General features: G+C 42.2%; 1 protein-coding gene and 1 pseudogene across 1 annotated transcript; one reads left to right on the forward strand and one right to left on the reverse strand.

Moving 5' to 3' along the window:
• SPICP2 (Spi-C transcription factor pseudogene 2) lies at positions 583–1,712 on the forward strand (annotated as a pseudogene).
• On the reverse strand, positions 2,295–4,168 carry SLC35G3 (solute carrier family 35 member G3). Its single transcript, NM_152462.2, has one exon. It carries the CDS (start codon positions 4,080–4,082, stop codon positions 3,066–3,068), a length of 1,017 nt encoding a protein of 338 aa, NP_689675.1. The 5' UTR covers positions 4,083–4,168; the 3' UTR covers positions 2,295–3,065.
• Between the last annotated feature and the right edge of the window lie 16,639 nt (positions 4,169–20,807).

Here is a 20,807-nt window from a genome sequence, read left to right on the forward strand (position 1 = left end):
TGTAGACCAGTATCTTTTATGACTATAGGTACAAAATCCTTTACTAAATACTAGCACCCCAAATCCACCAATATATAAAAAGATAACACATTAATCAAGTTATGTTTATTCTAAGAACAATAAGTTGGTTAATATGAGACTATCAACCAATATAATGTACTACATCAACAGAATAAAGAATAAAATAATGACTATCTCAATAGACGTAAGAAAAGTTTTTGATAAAATTCAGTAACAATTCATGATAAAACTCTTCAGTAAACTAAAAATAGAAAGAAGCTTCCTTAATGTGATAAAGTTTATCTGTATAAAATCTATAGCCACTGTGATATTTAATTATCCCGAGATTAAGAATGAGATAACAGTACTTGCTATTACCAATTGTATTCAACTTTGTACCGAAGAGCGTAGCTAGTACAAAAAGGCAAGAAAAGGCAATGAAAATCATAAAATTGGCCAAACGTGACAGCTGTTACAATGGCAGGTTACAGGTTAGCCAAGCGGGAGGCAGACATGTGTTTCAGGGGAGGGGAAGGCTATTTCCACCATATGCAAGTGGATGCTGCATTGGACACTGATGGGCAGAACCATCATGCTGGAAAATAATTTTTTATTTTCATGACAGCCTACCATTGAATTTACAATTCTGATATTAATGAAATATCTCTATAAAGGGTTGAAGTGTCTTCCTGCAACAATTGCCAAGGAACAAAATTGTCAATTTATTAATGAAACATGACGTGTGTTGAACAAGACAAGCTGGGTCAAGCATTTGAGGATGCTTTTGAGGCACTGAGGCAACATTCAACTGGAGATCTTTAGTACTCGCCAGATTACAAAAATTACCTGGCTTTAATCAATTATTGTCCTCACGTCAAAGGAAATTCCAGCTGCTATGGAGTGTTGCCTACAGAGGAACCTCTCTGTAATTGGAGAACGGTAATCAACAGTGCTGCGGACTTCTATTTTGAAGGAAACATTCATCAGTCTCTGCAGAACATAACTGAAAACCAGCTGGTACAACCCACTATTCTCCAGCAAAAGTGGGGAAAAGGCAGGAAGAAGCTTAGACTGTTTGAATACCTTCACGAATCCCTGTGTAATCCGGAGATGGCACCTTGTATTCAGTGGGTAGATAAAATCAAAGGCATCTTTCCGTTTGTATCAAAAAACAAAGGAAAACTTGCCGAGCTTTGGCGGAAAAGAAAAGGCCGTTGGAAGACCATGACTTATCAGAAAATGGCCAGGGCACTGAGAAATTATGGAAGAAGTGAGGAAATTACCAAAATCCGGAGGAAGCTGACTTACCAGTTCAGTTAGGCCACTCTCCAAAGACTCTCTCCATCTTATTTCTTGGGGAAAGAGATCTTTCCCCAAGTGTGTTAAACCTGATCAGGAATATCTCAGTTTAAATAACTGGAATGCAAATTATAATTATACATATGCCAATTACCATGAGCTAAATCACCATGATTGCTAAATATACTCTCATATTTCATGGTTTCCTGGCATTGGAAGTCCCTACAGTTTTAAGGATTTCTCACTCTCTGTCTCTTTTTTCCTTCCTCTGAAGGAGTTTAGGATTTTTCTCTTAAAGCAAACACTAAAGAGAAAAAAAACCAAGTAACTTTATTTGCTGCTTTTATCAAAGAGCATGTAATCTATACTAACTCAGTGGGAAATTCTGCCAATGAGCAGCTTTTTTTTTAATACTCTATGAAGATTCAATGAAAAACTTTATTGTTTCAAATGATTAAGTCCATTTGAAACTATAGACTAAATGTCCTTGCTCTGCTCTTACTATTCTCTCTAATTTTTTTATTTTATTATTTTTTAAAAGAGGTCTCAGCCAAGACAATTTTAAATTTTTATGGATTTAGGAGTACAAGTGCAGTTTTGTTGCATGGATACATTGCGTAGTGGTAAAGCATATTGCATAGCATCCTCATCATCAGAATAGTGAACATTGTACCCAATAGGTAGGATTTCATCCCTCATCCCCCACCCATCTGCCCACCTTTTGGAGCCTCCGGTGTCTATTACTCCACTCTGTATGTCCATTGCTAAGCCCCCAACTATACTCATTTTATTTTATTTTAAAACTTGTTTTCTTTTTCTGCATACTTCAATGGATGCAAACTCTTTTCATTTTTTCTTTTCCTTTCACAGACAGTGACTTCATTTTTTTTTTTTTTTTTTGCTGCTAACTCCCAAGCACAACACAGTGACTTATGTTTTTAATTTTTTTAAGAGGCAAAGCCTACCTCTGAAGCTCCTTTTTTTTTTCTTTTCCTACTTCAATAAGCTGGTCTACATTCTTACTCTTCTCTATGCAACCACTTTCTTCTAGATTAACAGTGCTAGTACAGATGATTTGATTTATACATTGATTTCAGCATTTTCTTTTCATGTACTCAGGTGAGGAAAATCACTCTTTTATATCCAATGACTTTACAAAAAATCATTTACAAAGAAGTGACTGCATATGATAAAATATTTGTGCCAAAATAAATTCATGGCTTTTAAAATGTCATAGAAATGTCTATTCAGGTATCTTTTTTTTTTTTTTTCACATTCACTGTAATCCTTGTTTGATGTCAATGTCACGTCACCACCCCAAGCGGGGGGCACAAGCACGAGGAAAGGAAACCTTCCCCGTGAGGGGAGGGGTGGGGAGGCACGCTTCCCTCCCCCAGCGCAGCTGCTGGCTCTGTCTTTGCCGGAACACTCCAGCCCCAATGCTCTTCTCTTTGCTGCTGAGTGAAGTCCTCCCCATGGCCCACGGCCTCCCTGCCTCAGCCCTTTGGATCTGCTCCTCAGACTTTACCCCTTAGTTATGCCCTGATTCTAGGACCCAGCCTGGACTCCACATCCCTTGGTCCCAGGCTGGCCCCAGGTCTTCCACGTAGTCCCTCTCCACCAAGTCCCCAAGTCACCCTTGACTCTGAGAGGTATCCCTCTCCCACACCAGTTCTTTTCCAGTCACTTCTCCTCCCATGTTTGTCTTCAGTCTTTGCCTTTATTTATCCCTGTCCCTCCCAACCCCCGGGCTCCCAAGTTCTATCTCACTCCTCCACCCTCCCTGTCCTCTCACAGCTGAGGTTCTGGGCTGTAATGATGGCAATGCTGCCCAGCACAACCCCTGCCGCCACGATGTCAGAAGGTGCCACAGTCTCATGGAGCATATAATACTGCAGTATAAGGGCCACAACCACCTCGGAATGTAGGACAGCGCACACCAGGGCAGGGTGGGCCTTGGTGACCGCATAGCCCACACATGTGAAGGAGACCAAGGCGAGGATCCCCACTGCCCCCACACAACTCCAACTCAGGAGGTCACTGGGCAACACGGGGGCCTGCAGCACAAAGAGGCCTGGCACAGAGCCCAGCAGCCCCACCAAGCCAGATAGGAAGGCCACTGTTGGGAGGCAGGGGGGAAAGTGCAGAGAACGATAGACCAGAAGCCTCAGGGACAGCGCCAGGCCTCCCAGGAAAGCCTCCACATAGCCCAGGGCGGTGTAGACACCCGTGGTCCCCTCCTGTAGTGTCCAGAGTCCAGGTCCCACAATGATGATTAGTCCTAGGATGCAGCCCAACAGTCCACACCAGTCGTAGCCACTGAGACCCTGGCTCTCAAGGCAGAGAGTGAGGACGGCGGAGCAGACGGTGGAAGAACCTTTGCGAACAGTGGCAGCGTTGCCAGCGGGCACCACCTGAACCGCACTGTAGGCACATCCAATGCTGAGGATGTTGAGCAGGGCACAGAAGAAGGCCCGGCTTCGGATGTCAGGAGTTCCCAGAAGGGGGTCGCCACGCAGTTTAAGTAGCAGGGCAATAGGGAGGTGGAAGAGGCATCGCCAGATGAGCAGCTCCAGCGAGGGCAGGTTGGAAGCCTGGTAAGCCATACGAGAAAGGGGGCCCACGAAGCCAGCAGGCAGGCCCCCACCCAGCAGGGCCACCAGCAGGCCACTGGTGGCATCAGAGGGCTGGCAGCGCTGGTACCAGCGGAGGCTGGGTGGAGCGGAGGGCGGCGATGGGTGTGTGGAGTCAGGCTGGTTGAAATAGGGGTGACTGCCAGCCATCTTTCCTTGGACTTTCTCCTCTCCTCCTGGCTCAGGGAGCCTGGGCCCCTCAGAGCTCCAGCCATTGTGACCTCATTGGAGTGGGGGTGGGATTCTTCCCTGGAACTCTCCTGAGGTGGTAGCACGCCTATTTTCCCACTGAGTCCAACTCTGCTTCTTTTCTTTCTTTTTTTGTTTTTTGTTTTTTTTTATTGATCATTCTTGGGTGTTTCTCGCAGAGGGGGATTTGGCAGGGTCATAGGACAATAGTGGAGGGAAGGTCAGCAGATAAACAAGTGAACAAAGGTCTCTGGTTTTCCTAGGCAGAGGACCCTGCGGCCTTCTGCAGTGTTTGTGTCCCTGGGTACTTGAGATTAGGGAGTGGTGATGACTCTTAACGAGCATGCTGCCTTCAAGCATCTGTTTAACAAAGCACATCTTGCACCGCCCTTAATCCATTTAACCCTGAGTGGACACAGCACATGCCCCAGAGAGCACAGGGCTGGGGGCAAGGTCACAGATCAACAGCATCCCAAGGCAGAAGAACCCTTCCCAGTACAGAACAAAATGAAGTCTCCCATGTCTACTTCTTTCTACACAGACACAGCAACAATCTGATTTCTCTATCTTTTCCCCACCTTTCCCCCTTTTCTATTCCACAAAACCACCACCGTCATCATGGCCCGTTCTCAATGAGCTGTTGGGTACACCTCCCAGACGGGGTGGTGGCCGGGCAGAGGGGCTCCTCACTTCCCAGAAGGGGCGGCCGGGCAGCGGTGCCCCCCACCTCCCGGACGGGGCAGCGGCCGGGCGGGGGCTGACCCCCCACCTCCCTCCCAGACGGGGCAGCTTGCCCGGCGGGGGCTGCCCCCCACCTCCCTCCTGGACGGGGCGGCTGCCGGGCAGAGAAGCTCCTCACTTCCCAGACGGGGCGGCTGCCGGGTGGAGGGGCTCCTCACTTCTCAGACGGGGCGGCTGCCGGGCGGAGGGGCTCCTCACTTCTCAGATGGGGCAGCTGCGGGGCGGAGGGGCTCCTCACTTCTCAGATGGGGCGGCCGGGCAGAGACGCTCCTCACCTCCCAGATGGGGTCGCGGCCAGGCAGAGGCGCTCCCCACATCTCAGACGATGGGCCCCCGGGCAGAGACGCTCCTCACTTCCTAGACGGGATGGCGGCCGGGAAGAGGCGCTCCTCACTTCCTAGATGGGATGGCGGCCGGGAAGAGGCGCTCCTCACTTCCCAGACTGGGCAGCCGGGCAGAGGGGCTCCTCACATCCCAGACAATGGGCGGCCAGGCGGAGACGCTCCTCACTTCCCAGGCGGGGTGGCGGCTGGGCAGAGGCTGCAATCTCGGCACTTTGGGAGGCCAAGGCAGGCGGCTGGGAGGTGGAGGTTGTAGCTAGCCGAGATCACGCCACTGCTCTCCAGCCTGGGCAACATTGAGCACTGAGTGAATGAGACTCCGTCTGCAATCCCGGCACCTCGGGAGGCCGAGGTTGGCAGATCACTCGTGGTTAGGAGCTGGAGACCAGCCTGGCCAACACAGCGAAACCCCGTCTCCACCAAAAAAATACGAAAACCAGTCAGGCGTGGCGGTGCGCACCTGCAATCGCAGGCTGAGGCAGGAGAATCAGGCAGGGAGGTTGCAGTGAGCCGAGATGGCAGCAGTACAGTCCAGCTTCGGCTCCGCATCAGAGGGAGACCGTGGAAAGACAGGGAAACGGAGACCGTGGGGAGAGGGAGAGGGAGAGGGAGAGCTCAGGTATCTTATACATTGTTTTCTTTCCTTCTCTTCTTTTGATCTTACCCACTTTTTTTTACAACTTAAAGCTTTTTTTTTTTTTTTTTTTTTTGAGACAGGGTCTCGCTCTCTCACCCAGGCTCAAGTGCAGTGACACAAACATGGCTCAAGCCCAGCTAATTTTTTTTTTTTTTTTGTAGAGACAGTGTTTTATTATGTTGCCCAGGCTAGTCTTGAACTCCTGGGCTCAGGCAATCTGCCCACCTTGGCCTTCGAAAGTGCTGGGATTACAGGTGTGAGTGACCAGACTGGTCCCAAAACTTTTTTAATGTTTAAATTTTACCACTATACTAAGGAGGAGTTACCCATCTTTTAATTGCCTTTTTTTCTTCTTATTAGGGAGGGGTAAGGAAGAAGACTTGGTCAGCAGAAAGCAGGTCTTAATTGCTTTTTTGTTTTGTTTTGTTGCTATTGAGTTGTTTGAGCTCTTTATATGTGTTGGATATTAACCCCTTATCAGATGTCTGGCTTGCAAATATTTTCTCCCATTCCATAGGTTATCTCTTTACTCTGTTGATTGTTTGCTGTGCAGAAGGTTTTTAGTTTGTTTGTTTTAGCTACACATCATGAACCAAGAAGCTTTTTACTTTGATATGATACCATTTGTCTATATTTAATTTTGTTGTCTGTGCTTTTGGGAACAAATCCAAAAAATCATTACCCAGACCAATGTCTTGTATGTTTCCCCTATGTTTTCTTTCTTTTTTTTTTTTTTTTTTAAAGGAGGCTGTCAGCTGATCCCCTATGTTTTCTTCTAGCAGTTTTAGGTTCTTGGTCTTAAAGGTCTCTTTTTTTTCTTTCTTTCCTTTTTTTTTTTTTTTTTTTTTTTTTGTTGGCAATTTTCCTGAGCAAACTAATGCAGGAATGTTTAAGTATGTAATCCATTTTGAACTAACTTTTGTATATGGTGTTGAAATAAGGGTCCAATTTTCTTTTTCTGCATGTGGAAATTCAGTTTTCCCTACACCATTTATTGAAAAAAGCGGTCTTTTTCTTCTTGGCATATTTGTTGAAAATCAGATTCATCTCTGGGCTTTCTATTCTGTTCCATTGGTTGATGTGTCTTTTTCTTTTTTGCCAATTCCATGCTGTTTTACACTTACTTGATCTTAGCCAAAAGGCAGAGAAGCGATTATTTCATACTATTTTAATTAGTATAGCTTTGTAGTATAGTTTAAAATCAGATAGTGTGATACCTCCAGTTTTTTCAACTTCAGAGAGCTCTGAAGCAAATATCTCCAGCTTTTTTTCTTTTTGCTCACGATTGCCTTGGCTTTTTTTTTTTTTTTTTTTTTGCAGTTTTGTATGAATTTTAATGTTTTTTGTTTTTTTTTGAGGCATGGTTTCATTCTCTTTCCCAGGCTGGAATGAATGTCACAATCATGGCTCACTGCAGCCTCAAACTCCTGAGCCCAAACAAGCAATCCTCCTACCTCAGCTCCTGGAGTAGCTGGTACCTCAGGCATGCATTGACAAACCTGGTAAAAAAATTTTTTTTTTTTTGGTAGAGGTGAACTCCTCGGCTCAAGCAGTTCTTCCACCTTGGCCTCCCAAAGTGCCAGGATTACAGGCTAGAATTTTTTTCTATTTCTATAAGAAATGATGTTGGGATTTTCTTTTTCTTTCTTTCTTTCTTTTTTTTTTTTTTACTATAAGTTTTAGGGTACATGTGCAAAATGTGCAGGTTTGTTACATATGTATACATGTGCCATGTTGGTGTGCTGCAGCCATTAACTCGTCATTTAACATTAGGTATATCTCCATGCTATCCCTCCCCCCTCCCCCCACCCCACAACAGGCCCCGGTGTGTGATGTTCCCCTTCCTGTGTCCATGTGTTCTCATTGTTCAATTCCCACCTATGAGTGAGAACATGCAGTGTTCGGTTTTTTGTCCTTGCAATAGTTTGCTGAGAATGATGGTTTCCAGCTTCATCCATGTCCCTACAGAGGACATGAACTCATCATTTTTTATGGCTGCATAGTACTACATGGTGTATATGTGACACATTTTCTTAATCCAGTCTATCATTGTTGGATATTTGGGTTAGTTCCAAGTCTTTGCTATTGTGAATAGTGCCACAATAAGCATACATGTGCATGTGTCTTTATAGCAGCATTATGTATAATCCTTTGGGTATATTACCAGTAATGGGATGGCTGGGTCAAATGGTATTTCTAGTTCTAGATCCCTGAGGAATCGCCACACTGACTTCCACAATGGTTGAACTAGTTTACAGTCCCACCAACAGTGTAAAAGTGTTCCTATTTTTCCACATCCTCTCCAGCACCTGTCGTTTCCTGACTTTTTAATGATCGCCATTCTAACTGGTGTGAGATGATATCTCATTGTGGTTTTGATTTGCATTTCTCTGATGGCCAGTGATGATGAGCATTTTTTCATGTATCTTTTGGCTGCATAAATGTCTTCTTTTGAGAAGTGTCTGTTCATATCCTTCACCCACTTGTTGATGGGGTTGTTTGTTTTTGTCTTGTAAATTTGTTTGAGTTCATTATAGATTCTGGATATTAGCCCTTTGTCAGATGGGTAGATTGCAAAAATTTTCTCCCATTCTGTAGGTTGCCTGTTCACTCTGATGGTAGTTTCTTTTGCTGTGCAGAAGCTCTTTAGTTTAATTAGATCCCATTTGTCAATTTTGGCTTTTGTTGCCATTGCTTTTGGTGTTTTAGACAAAAGTCCTTGCCCATGCCTATGTCCTGAATGGTATTGCCTAGGTTTTCTTCTAGGGTTTTTATGGTTTTAGGTCTAACATTTAAGTCTTTAATCCATCTTGAATTAATTTTTGTATAAGGTGTAAGGAAGGGATCCAGTTTCAGCTTTCTACATATGGCTAGCCAGTTTTCCCAGCACCATTGATTAAATAGGGAATACTTTCCCCATTTCTTGTTTTTGTCAGGTTCGTCAAAGATCAGATAGTTGTAGATATGTGGCATTATTTCTGAGGGCTCTGTTCTGTTCCATTGGTCTATATCTCTGTTTTGGTACAAGTACCATGCTGTTTTGGTTACTGTAGCCTTGTAGTATAGTTTGAAGTCAGGTAGTGTGATGCCTCCAGCTTTGTTCTTTTGGCTTAGGATTTACTTGGCAATGCGGGCTCTTTTTTGGTTCCATATGTGTTGCGGGAAGTCAGGGGCCCCAAATGGAGGGACCGGCTGAAGCCATGGCAGAACGTGGATTGTGAAGATTTCATGGACATTTATTAGTTCCCCAAATTAATACTTTTATAATTTCCTATGCCTGTCTTTACTGCAATCTCTGAACATAAAATTGTGAAGATTTCATGGACAATTATCACTTCCCCAATCAATACCCTTGTGATTTCCTATGCCTGTCTTTACTTTAGTCTCTTAATCCTGTCATCTGGTAAGCCGAGGAGGATGTATGTTGCCTCAGGATCCTGTGATAATTGCGTTAACTGCACAAATTGTGGAGCATGTGTGTTTAAACAATATGAAATCTGGGCACCTTGATAAAAGAACAGGATAACAGCAATGTTTAGGAAACAAGAGAGATAACCTTAAACTCTGACCGCCAGTGAGCCGGGCGGAACAGAGCCATATTTCTCTTCTTTCAAAAGCAAATGGGAGAAATATTGCTGAATTCTTTTTCTCAGCAAGGAACATCCCTGGGAAAGAGAATATGTGCCTGGGGTTGGGTCTATAGATGGCCCCCTTGGGTGTGGCCATCTTCTATGGTCAAAACTGTAGGGGTGAAATAAACCCCAGTCTCCCATAGCGCTCCTAGGCTTATTAGGAAGAGGAAATTCCCACCTAATAAATTTCGGTTAGACCGGTTGCTCTCAAAACCCTGTCTCCTGATAAGAGGTTATCAATGGCAATGGTGCCCGAAACTTCATTAGCAATTTTAATTTTGCCCTGGTCCTGTGGTCCTGTGATCTTGCCCTGCCTCCATTTGCCTTGTGATATTCTATTACCTTGTGAAGTATGTGATCTCTGTGACCCACACCTATTCGTACACTCCCTCCCCTTTTGAAAGTCCCTAATAAAAACTTGCTGGTTTTGCGGCTTGTGGGGCATCATGGAACCTACCGACATAAGATGTCTCCCCCGGATGCCCAGCTTTAAAATTTCTCTCTTTTGTATTCTGTCCCTTTATTTCTCAACCCGGCCAACGCTTAGGGAAAATAGAAAAGAACCTATGTGACTATCGGGGCAGGTTCCCCGACACATATGAACTTTAAAGTAGTTTTTTCCAATTCTGTGAAGAAAGTCATTGGTAGCTTGATGGGGATGGCATTGAATCTGTAAATTACCTTGGGCAGTATGGCCATTTTCATGATATTGATTCTTCCTACCCATGAGCATGAAATGTTCTTCCATTTGTTTGTATCCTCTTTTATTTCCTTGAGCAGTGGTTTGCCTTGAGCAGTGGTTTGTAGTTCTCCTTGAAGAGGTCCTTCACATCCCTTGTAAGTTGGATTCCTAGGTATTTTATTCTTTTTGAAGCAATTGTGAATGGGAGTTCACTCATGATTTGGCTCTCTGTTTGTCTGTTATTGGTGTATAAGAATGCTTGTGATTTTTGCACATTGATTTTGTATCCTGAGACTTTGCTAAAGTTGCCTATCAGCTTAAGGAGATTTTGGGCTGAGACGATGGGGTTTTCTAGATATACAATCATGTCATCTGCAAACAGGGACAATTTGACTTCCTCTTTTCCTAATTGAATACCCTTTATTTCCTTCTCTTGCCTGATTGCCCTGACCAGAACTTACAACACTATGTTGAATAGGAGTGGTGAGAGAGGACATCCCTGTCTTGTGCCAGTTTTCAAAAGGAATGCTTCCAGTTTTTGCCCATTCAGTATGATATTGGCTGTGGGTTTGTCATAGATAGCTCTTATTATTTTGAGATACGTCCCATCAATACCTAATTTATCGAGAGTTTTTAGCATGAAGGGTTGTTGAATTTTGTCAAAGGCCTTTTCTGCATCTATTGAGATAATCGTGGTTTTTGTCGTTGGTTCTGTTTATATGCTGGATTATGTTTATTGATATGCATATGTTCAACCAGCCTTGCATCCCAGGGATGAAGACCACTTGATCATGATGGATAAGCTTTTTGATGTGCTGCTGGATTCGGTTTGCCAGTATTTTATTGAGGATTTTCACATCGATGTTCATCAGGGATATTGGTCTAAAACTCTCTTTTTTTGCTGTGTCTCTGCCAGGCTTTGGTATCAGGATGATGCTGGCCTCATAAAATGAGTTAGGGAGGATTCCCTCTTTTTCTATTGATTGGAATAGTTTCAGAAGGAATGGTACCAGCTCTGCCTTGTACCTCTGGTAGAATTCGGCTGTGAATCCACCTAGTCCTGGACTTTTTTTGGTTGGTAAGCTATTAATTATTGCCTTAGTTTCAGAGCCTGTTATTGGTCTATTCAGAGATTCTACTTCTTCCTGGTTTATCTTGGGAGGGTGTATGCATCAAGGAATTTGTCCATTTCTTCTAGATTTTCTAGTTTATTTGCATAGAGGTGTTTATAATATTCTCTGATGGTAGTTTGTATTTCTGTGGGATCGGTGGTGATATCCCCTTTATCATTTTTTATTGCATCTATTTGATTCTTCTCTCTTTTCTTCTTTATTAGTCTTGCTAGTGGTCTATCAATTGTGTTGATCTTTTCAAAAAACCAGCTCCTGGATTCATTGATTTTTTGAAGGGTTTTTTGTGTCTGTATTTCCTTCAGTTCTGCTCTGATCTTAGTTATTTCTTGCCTTCTGCTAGCTTTTGAATGTGTTTGCTCTTGCTTCTCTAGCTCTTTTAATTGTGATGTTAGGGTGTCAATTTTAGATCTTTCCTGCTTCCTCTTGTGGGCATTTAGTGCTATAAATTTCCCTCCACACACAGCTTTGAATGTGTCCCAGAGATTCTGGTATGTTGTGTCTTTGTTCTCGTTGGTTTCAAAGAACATCTTTATTTCTGTCTTCATTTTGTTGTGTACCCAGTAGTCATTCAGGAGCAGGTTGTTCAGTTTCCATGTAGTTGAGCGGTTTTGAGTGAGTTTCTTAATCCTGAGTTCTAGTTTGATTGCACTGTGGTCTGAGAGACAGTTTGTTATAATTTCTTTTCTTTTACATTTGCTGAGGAGTGCTTTACTTCCAACTATGTGGTCAATTTTGGAATAGGTGTGGTGTGGTGCTGAAAAGAAAGTATATTCTGTTGATTTGGGGTGGAGAGTTCTGTAGATGTCTATTAGCTCTGCTTGGTGCAGAGCTGAGTTCAATTCCTGGATATTCTTGTTAACTTTCTGTGTCATTGATCTGTCTAATGTTGACAGTGGGGTGTTAAAGTCTCCCATTATTATTGTGTGGGAGTCTAAGTCTCTTTGTAGGTCTCTAAGGACTTGCTTTATGAATCTGGGTGCTCCTGTATTGGGTGCATGTATATTTAGGATAATTAGCTCTTCTTGTTGAATTGATCCCTTTACCATTATGTAATGGCCTTCTTTGTCTCTTTTGATCTTTGTTGGTTTAAAGTCTGTTTTATCAGAGACTAGGATTACAACCCTGCCTTTTTTTGCTTTCCATTTGCTTGGTAGATCTTGCTCCATCCCTTTATTTTGAGCCTATGTGTGTCTCTGCACATGAGATGGGTCTCCTGAATACAGCACACTGATGGGTCTTGACTCTTTGTCCAATTTGCCAGTCTGTGTCTTTTAATTGGAGCATTTAGCCCATTTACATTTAAGGTTAATATTGTTATGTGTGAATTTGATCCTGTCATTATGATGTTAGCTGGTGATTTTGCTCGTTAGTTGATGCAGTTTCTTCCTAGCCTTGATGGTCTTTACAATTTGGCATGTTTTTGCAGTGGCTGGTGCCGGTTGTTCCTTTCCATGTTTAGTGCTTCCTTCAGGAGCTCTTGTAGGGCAGGCCTGGTGGTGACAAAATCTCTCAGCATTTGCTTCTCTGTAAAGTATTTTATTTCTCCTTCACTTATGAAGCTTAGTTTGCCTGGATATGAAATTCTGGGTTGAAAATTCTTTTCTTTAAGAATGTTGAATATTGGCCCCCACTCTCTTCTGGCTTGTAGAATTTCTGCTGAGAGATCAGCTGTTAGTCTGTTGGGCTTCCCCTTGTGGGTAATCCGACCTTTCTCTCTGGCTGCCCTTAACATTTTTTCCTTCATTTCAACTTTGGTGAATCTGACAATTATGTGTCTTGGAGTTGCTCTTCTCGAGGAGTATCTTTGTGGCATTCTCTGTATTTCCTGAATCTGAATATTGGCCTGCCTTGCTAGATTGGGGAAGTTCTCCTGGATAATATCCTGCAGAGTGTTTTCCAACTTGGTTCCATTCTCCCCATCACTTTCAGGTACACCAATCAGACATAGATTTGGTCTTTTCACATAGTCCCATATTTCTTGGAGGCTTTGTTAGTTTCTTTTTATTATTTTTTCTCTAAAATTCTCTTCTCACTTCATTTCATTCATTTGATATTCCATCACTGATACTCTTTCTTCCAGTTGATCGAGTTGGCTACTGAGGCTTGTGCATTCATCTCGTAGTTCTCTTGCGGTGGTTTTCAGCTCCATCGGGTCCTTTAAGGACTTCTCTGCATTGGTTATTCTAGTTAGCCATTTGTCTAATCTTTTTCCAAGGTTTTTAACTTCTTTGCCATGGGTTTGAACTTCCTCCTTTAGCTCGGAGTAGTTTGATCGTTGGAAGCCTTCTTCTCTCAACTCATCAAAGTCATTCTCCATCCAGCTTTGTTCCATTGCTGGTGAGGAACTGCATTCCTTTGGAGGAGGAGAGGCGCTCTGATTTTTAGAATTTTCAGTTTTTCTGCTCTGTTTTTTCCCCATCTTTGTGGTTTTATCTACCTTTGGTCTTTGATGATGGTGACATATAGATGGGGTTTTGGTGTGGATGTCCTTTCTGTTTGTTAGTTTTCCTTCTAACAGTCAGGACCATCAGCTGCTAGTCTGTTGGAGTTTGCTGGAGGTCCACTCCAGATGCTGTTTGCCTGGGTATCAGCAGTGGAGGCTGCAGAACAGCAGATATTGGTGAATAGCAAATGTTGCTGCCTGATCGTTCCTCTGGAAGCTTTGTCTCAGAGGAGTACCCGGCCGTGTGAGATGTCAGTCTGCCCCTACTGGGGGGTGCCTCCCACTTGGGCTACTCAGGGGTCAGGGACCCAGTTGAGGAGGCAGTCTGTCCGTTCTCAGATCTCCAGCTGCATGCTGGGAGAACCACTACTCTCTTCAAAGCTGTCAGACAGGGACATTTAAGTCTGCAGAGATTTCTGCTGCCTTTTGTTTGGCTATGCCCTGCCCTGGAGGTGGAGTCTACAGAGTCAGGCAGGCCTCCTTGAGCTGGGGTGGGCTCCACCCAGTTCGAGCTTCCCAGCCGCTTTGCTTACCTACTCAAGCCTTGGCAATGGCAGGCACCCCTCCCCCAGCCTCACTGCCACCTTGCAGTTTGATCTCAGACTGCTGTGCTAGCAATGAGGGAGGCTCCGTGGGCATAGGACCCTCCAAGTCATGCACAGGATACAATCTCCTGGTGTGCCGTTTGCTAAGACCGTTGGAAAAGCACAGTATTCGGGTGGGAGTGACCCGATTTTCCAGGTGCTGTCTGTCACCCTTTCCTTGGCTAGGAAAGGGAATTCTCTGACCCCTTGTGCTTTCCTGGTGAAGCAATGCCTCACCCTGCTTCGGCTCACGCTCGGTGCGCTGCACCCACTGTCCTGAATCCACTGTCCGACAATCCCCAGTGAGATGAACCCGGTACCGCAGTTGGAAATGCAGAAATCACCTGTCTTCTGCATCACTCACACTGGGGGCTGTAGACTGGAGCTGTTCCTATTCGGCCATCTTGGCTCCACCCTCGATGTTGGGATTTTCATAGGGATTGCATTGAATCTGCAGGTCACGTTGGGTAGCATGGATTTTAATACCTACCTGGCCAATTTATTCCTAAGTTTTTTTATTTTTTTGTAGGTATTGTGAATGTGATTGTTCCCTTTATTTCTTTTTTTGTATAGTTTGTTGTTATCTCTTTTTTTCTTTTTTTTCACAAGCCTAGGTTCCAGAAAGTCTGTTGTTAGTGTATAGAAATGCTACTGATTTTTATTTCTTTTTTTCTTGTAAATTTTTAACACATTGACACTAATCAAAAGCAAGCTGCTGATTTTTTTGTGTGTTGATTTTGTATCTTGCAACTTTACTGTATTCACATATTAGTCCTAACAACTATTTTGCTAAAGTCTATAGGATTTTCCATATATAAGATCATGCCATCAACAAACATTGGCAATTTCATTTCTTTTCCTATTTGGATGCCTTTTATTTCTTTTTCTTGCCTAATTGCTCTAGAAAGAACTTCAATCCCATGTTGAACAGAAGTGGGAGAGTAGGTGCTATGGTTTGATATGATTTGTTTGACTACCAAGTCTCATTTTATAATTTGATTCCCATTGTTAAAGGTGGGGCCTGGTGGGAGGTGTTTGGATAATGGGACAGATCCCTTATGAATAGGTTAGTGTTATCTTTGCAATAATGAGTCAGTTCTCACTCTTAGTTTTTACAAGAGCTGATTTTTTAAAATTTTGTTTATAAATTCACTTTTCTTTTTTTTAAGACAGTGTCTCATTCTGTTGCCGAGGCTGGAGTGCAGTGGCATGAGCATAACTCACTGCAGTCTTGACCTCCTGGGCTCAAGCAATCCTCCCACCTCAGTCTCCCATGTAGTTTGGACCACAGGCACACACCACCGTGACTGGTTAATTTTTTGATTTTTTGTAGAGATGGAGTCTCACTTTTTTGCCCAGGCTGGTTGGTCTTAATTAAATTCTTGGGCTGAAGTGATCCTCCCATCTTGTGCTCCCAAAGTGCTGGGATTACAGGCATGAGCCACTGTGCTCATCCATGAGCTGATTGTTGAAAAGATCCTGGCCCCTCCTGCCCCTCTCTCTTGCTTCCACTCTCTCACCATGTAATCTGCACATTCTGGCTCCCCTTCATCTTCCACCATGTGTGGAAGCTTCCTGAGGCCCTTACCAGAAGCTTGTACAGCCTGCAGAAACATAAGCCAAATAAACCTCATTGCTTTATAAATTACCTGGGCTCAGGTATTTTGTTGAGCAACACAAACAGACTAAAACAGTAGAAATCCTTGTCTTGTTGCAGATCTTACACGAAGGGCCTTGAGTGTAATGTTAGCTGTGGGCTTCTCATAAATGACTTTTATTGTGCTGAGTTACATTTCTTTTTAAAAAATTTGCACTCAGGGTTATCCTCAAAGAGATATATGCTTTCTACATCTAATTTGGTGAACTTTTTTTTTGTCATCTTTCTCTCTCTCTCTTGCTCTCTCTTGCTCTGACTCTCTGCCTAGGGAATGGAAGATAAGAGAGAGTTTTTATCATAAAAGGATATTAAATTTTATTGAATGATTTTTGGCATCTAATAAATGATTATATGGTTTTTGTCTTTCATTCTGTTACTGTGGCATGTCACATTTATTGATCCTTGCATTCCAGTGATAAAAACATTTCTCAAAAGAAGACATGCAAATAGCCAACAGATAATGAAAAAATGCTCAGCATCACTAATCATTAGAGAAATGCAAATTAAAACCACAATGAGATATAATCTTTCACCTGTCAGAATGCTTATTATTATGTTTTTAATCATCCTGTACTTTATTTCAAAACAGAGTGTTTTCAAATGAAAAAACAAAAGATAAGTGTTGGTGAGGATGTAGAGCAAAGGAAACATTTGTACACTGTTGGTGGAAATGTAAATCGGTGCAGCCATTATGGAAAACAGTATGGAGATCCCTCCGCCCAAAAAATAAAAAAAAACCAAACTAAAAATAGAATTATCATATGATTTAGAAGTCCCTCTTCAGGGTATTAATGCAAAAGACTCAAAATCAGTTTGTTGAAGGGATATCTGCACTCCTATGTTCATTGCAATACTATGCACAACATCCAAGTAATGGAATCAACCTCTGCCCATCAACAGACAAATGGATTTTAAAAAAATGTAGTGCATATATACAATGGAATACTATTCAGCCTTTAAAAAGAAGGAAATTCTGGCTGGGTACAATGGCTCACACCTGTAAGTCCAACACTTTTGGTGGGTGGAGCACTTGAGGTCAGGAGTTTGAGACCAGCCTGAACAACACGGTGAAACCCTGTCTCTACTAAAAATACAAAAATTAGCTGGGTGTGGTGGCATATGCCTGCAATCCCAGCTACTTGGGAGGCTGAGGCAGGGGAATGGCTTGAACCTGGGAGGCAGAGGTTTCGGTGAACAGAGATCACGCCACTGCACTCCAGCCCGGGTGACGGAGTGAGTGAGACTCCATCTCAAAAGAGAGAGAGAGAGAGAGAAGGAAATTCTGAAATTTGTGACAGCATTGATGGAATTGAAGAACATTATGCTAAGTGAAATAAGTCAGGCCCAGAAAGACAAATACCACATGTTCTCCGTTATATGTGGAATTTAAAACAATGAACTTATAGAAGTGGAGAGTAGAATGGTGGTGACAGAAGCTGGAAGATGGGGAAATGGGGAGGTGATGGTCAAAGGGTATTTCAGACAGGCAGAACATGATTTTTCTTTTTGTGCATTCTATTGCACAGCATGGTGAATATAGTTAATAGTAGAGTGTTGTACGTTTCAAAATTGCTAAGTAAATTTCAAATGTTCTTGCCACAAAAAAAGTTAAGTATTTGAGGTGATGGAAATGTTAACTAGTTTGATTTAATTATTTCACATTGCATTCATAAATCGTAACATCATTTTGTACCCCATAAATTTTTTCCCCACGCAACTCCCTCTTCACAGAACCCATCAATCTATACAATTATAAATTGTCAATTTACAATAAAAAAAGAAGAAAAAAAGAAAAGCATAAAATTGAAAACTTAGAAATAAAACTTTTTAATTGTTCACATGACAGGATTGTACATGTAAAAAATCTGACAGCTACAAACTATTAGAACCAATAAGTGAATTTAGATACAAAGTCCATTTACAAAAATCAATTGTGTTTCTACATACCTATAACAGTTAGGAAGTTGAGTTTTTAAAGATGGTGCCATTATAATATCATAAAACATCAATGCCTAGAGATAAATTGTGAAAGATGTTTAAGAATCCTAACTATAAAATATTATTTACAAAAATAAAAGAAAACTCATATAAATAGAGAGATATTACCAAATTCCTGGATTGGATGACAACATTATAAAGCTATAAATTCTCCCCAAAGTGATATATAGATTCCATGAAAGCCCAATACAACTTTGAGGCTTTTGGTGGGACAGAGATTGATAAATTATTTGTAAAATATTTATGAAAAGCCAAAGAGTCAAGAATAGCAATGACCATCTTGGAGGAGAATAAAGTTTGGCCAGGCATGGTGGCTCACGCTTGTAATCCCAACACTTTGGGAGGCTGAGGCAGGAGGTATTGCCTGAGGCCAGGAGTTCGAGACCAGCCTGAGAAACGTAGTGAATCTCCATTTCCACAATTTTTTTTTAATTAAAAAGAAAAGAAAACAAGAATAAGTTGGAAGACTAACAGTGAGTATCAATATAAGGTCATAGTTATTAAGATGGTGTGATGTCAGCAAAAGAATAGGAAAATAGACCAATGAAACAGAAGAGAGAATTCAGAAATAGACCGACACATATAGGTACACTTGACTTATGACGAAGATCACACTACAGAACAGAGGGGAAGGGGTGCACTTTTCAACAAATGATATTGGGTCAACTAGCTATCCATATGGAAAAAAATTAAACTTAACCCCTCCCCCACAACACACTCAAACATCAGGTGGATTAGAGATCTAAATGTGAAAAGTAAAACCAGAAATATTCTTATGACATAGGGCTAGAGAGTTTAAAAAAATAAAAAGGAAATATTCTAGAAGATAACACTAGAGACTATCTTCATGAGTTGGAGTAGGCAGGTATTTCTTAAATGAGACATAGAAACACTAACCATAAACAAAAATGTTGATAAATTGGACAACTTTATTAAATAGGAGCTTCAATTCATGAGAAGACACTATTAAGACTTCAATTCATGAGAAGACACTATTAAGACAGTAATAAAGTCAGCCACAGAGTGGAAAAAGATTGCTAAACATTTAATCAATAAAGAACTTGTCCTAGCCTGGTCAACAAATTGAGACTCCATCTCTACAAAAAATAAAAAAATTAGCCAGGCACGGTGGCATGTGCCTGTGTTTCCCAGCTACACAGGAGGCTGAGGCAGGAAAATTGCTTGATTTCAGGAGGTTGAGACTGCAGTGAGCCAGATTTGCACCACTGTGCTCCAGCCTGGGCAACAAAGGGAGATCCTGTCTCAAAAAAAAAAAAAAAAGAAAAGAAAAGCAAACTACTTGTACAGACAGACACCTTATAAAAGGAGCCAATAAATATATGAAACTCAGTCATCTTACTAGTCATCAGGGAAATGCAAAATAAAATTATAATGAGATGTCACCATAGACCTATCAGAATGGCTAATATTAAAACCACACTGCATCCATCAACTGATGAGTGGATAAAGAAAATGTGCTGTGTATATACACGCACACACATACACACACAAATACACACCATGGAATACTATGCAGCCATAAAAAGAGGAAAATAATGTATTTTGCAGCAACTTGCATAGAACCAGAGGTCATTATCCTAAGCGAAGTAACTCAGGAACAGAAAATCAAATACTGCATGTTCTTACTTGTAAGTGGGAGCTAAGCTATGGGTACGCAAAGGTATGTAGATTGGTATAATGGACACTGAAGCCTCAGAAGGTGGGAAAGTTGAGAGGGGAATGTGGAATTTAAAAATCACCTACTGAGTACAATGTACACTATTCAGGTGATGGTCGCACTAAAAGCCCAGACATTATTATCATATAATTCATCCATGTAGCCAAAAACCACTTGTACCCCTATCGAATTTTTTTTTAAAGCAAATTAAGCCAGGTGTGGTGGCTCATGCCAGTAATCCCAGCAGTTTGGGAGGCCAAGGCAGGAGGATTGCTTGAGGCCAGTAGTTTGAGACCAGGCTGGGCAACATGGCAAGACCCCCGTCTCTACAAAGAGTACTTTAAAAATGTTAGCTGGGTGTGGTGGCACATGTCTGTAGTCCCAGCTACTTGGGAGTTGGGGGCTGAGGTGGGAGGATTGCTTGAGTCCTAGAGGTCGAGGCTGTAGTTAGTGAGCCATGATGGTGACACTGCACTCCAGCCTGGGTGACAGAGGAAGACCCTGTCTGAAAAAATAAGCAAATTAAAAAAAAATTAAAACACTGACAAAACCAAGTGTTGGTGAGAATATGGGATAACTGGAACTCTTATACACTGCAGATGGGAATGTGTGAATTGCTACGAAAACTTAGGAAGATGTATTTGGCAGTATCCCCTAAAAGTGCTTGACATAAAATTGAACATATACATAGCCAGCAACTCCAAGGTACACAGCCAACAGAAATATGTACTTGTGTTTGTGTGTCGCAATGAGAAAGAACACTTTTCATTGTGACTCCCAAATGGAAATAACCCCAATGTCCATCGTAAATGGAAAAATTGTCTGATACGTATACAGGAGAAGACGATACACCAGCGTAAATGCCACATTACTGCTAAGTACAACAATACGGATGTGACTTACAAATACAATATTCAAGTGAAAGAAGCTGGACCTAATAGAATATACTGTATAGTGAATGATCCGTTTATACCAGTTCAAAACCAGGCAAGACCAGTAGGTGATGTTAAAAGTCAGCATGGTGGTTACTTACAGGCAGAGCGTAAGGATAGCGGTGGGGAGGGGCACCATGGCAGCTTTGAAGTTTTGGTCTGGGTGTGTTCACTTTCATCAAGCTTGAGATGTGTGCACTTTTCTGTGTAATGCTATGTTTCACTTTG

This window comes from Homo sapiens, chromosome 17 (assembly GCF_000001405.40).
Source record: "Homo sapiens chromosome 17, GRCh38.p14 Primary Assembly".
NCBI lineage: Eukaryota > Metazoa > Chordata > Mammalia > Primates > Hominidae > Homo > Homo sapiens.

Bases quoted from the DNA above. Each gene is read 5' to 3' on its own strand.
- SLC35G3 (NM_152462.2), bottom strand. From the start codon at position 4,082: ATGGCTGGCAGTCACCCCTATTTCAACCAGCCTGACTCCACACACCCA.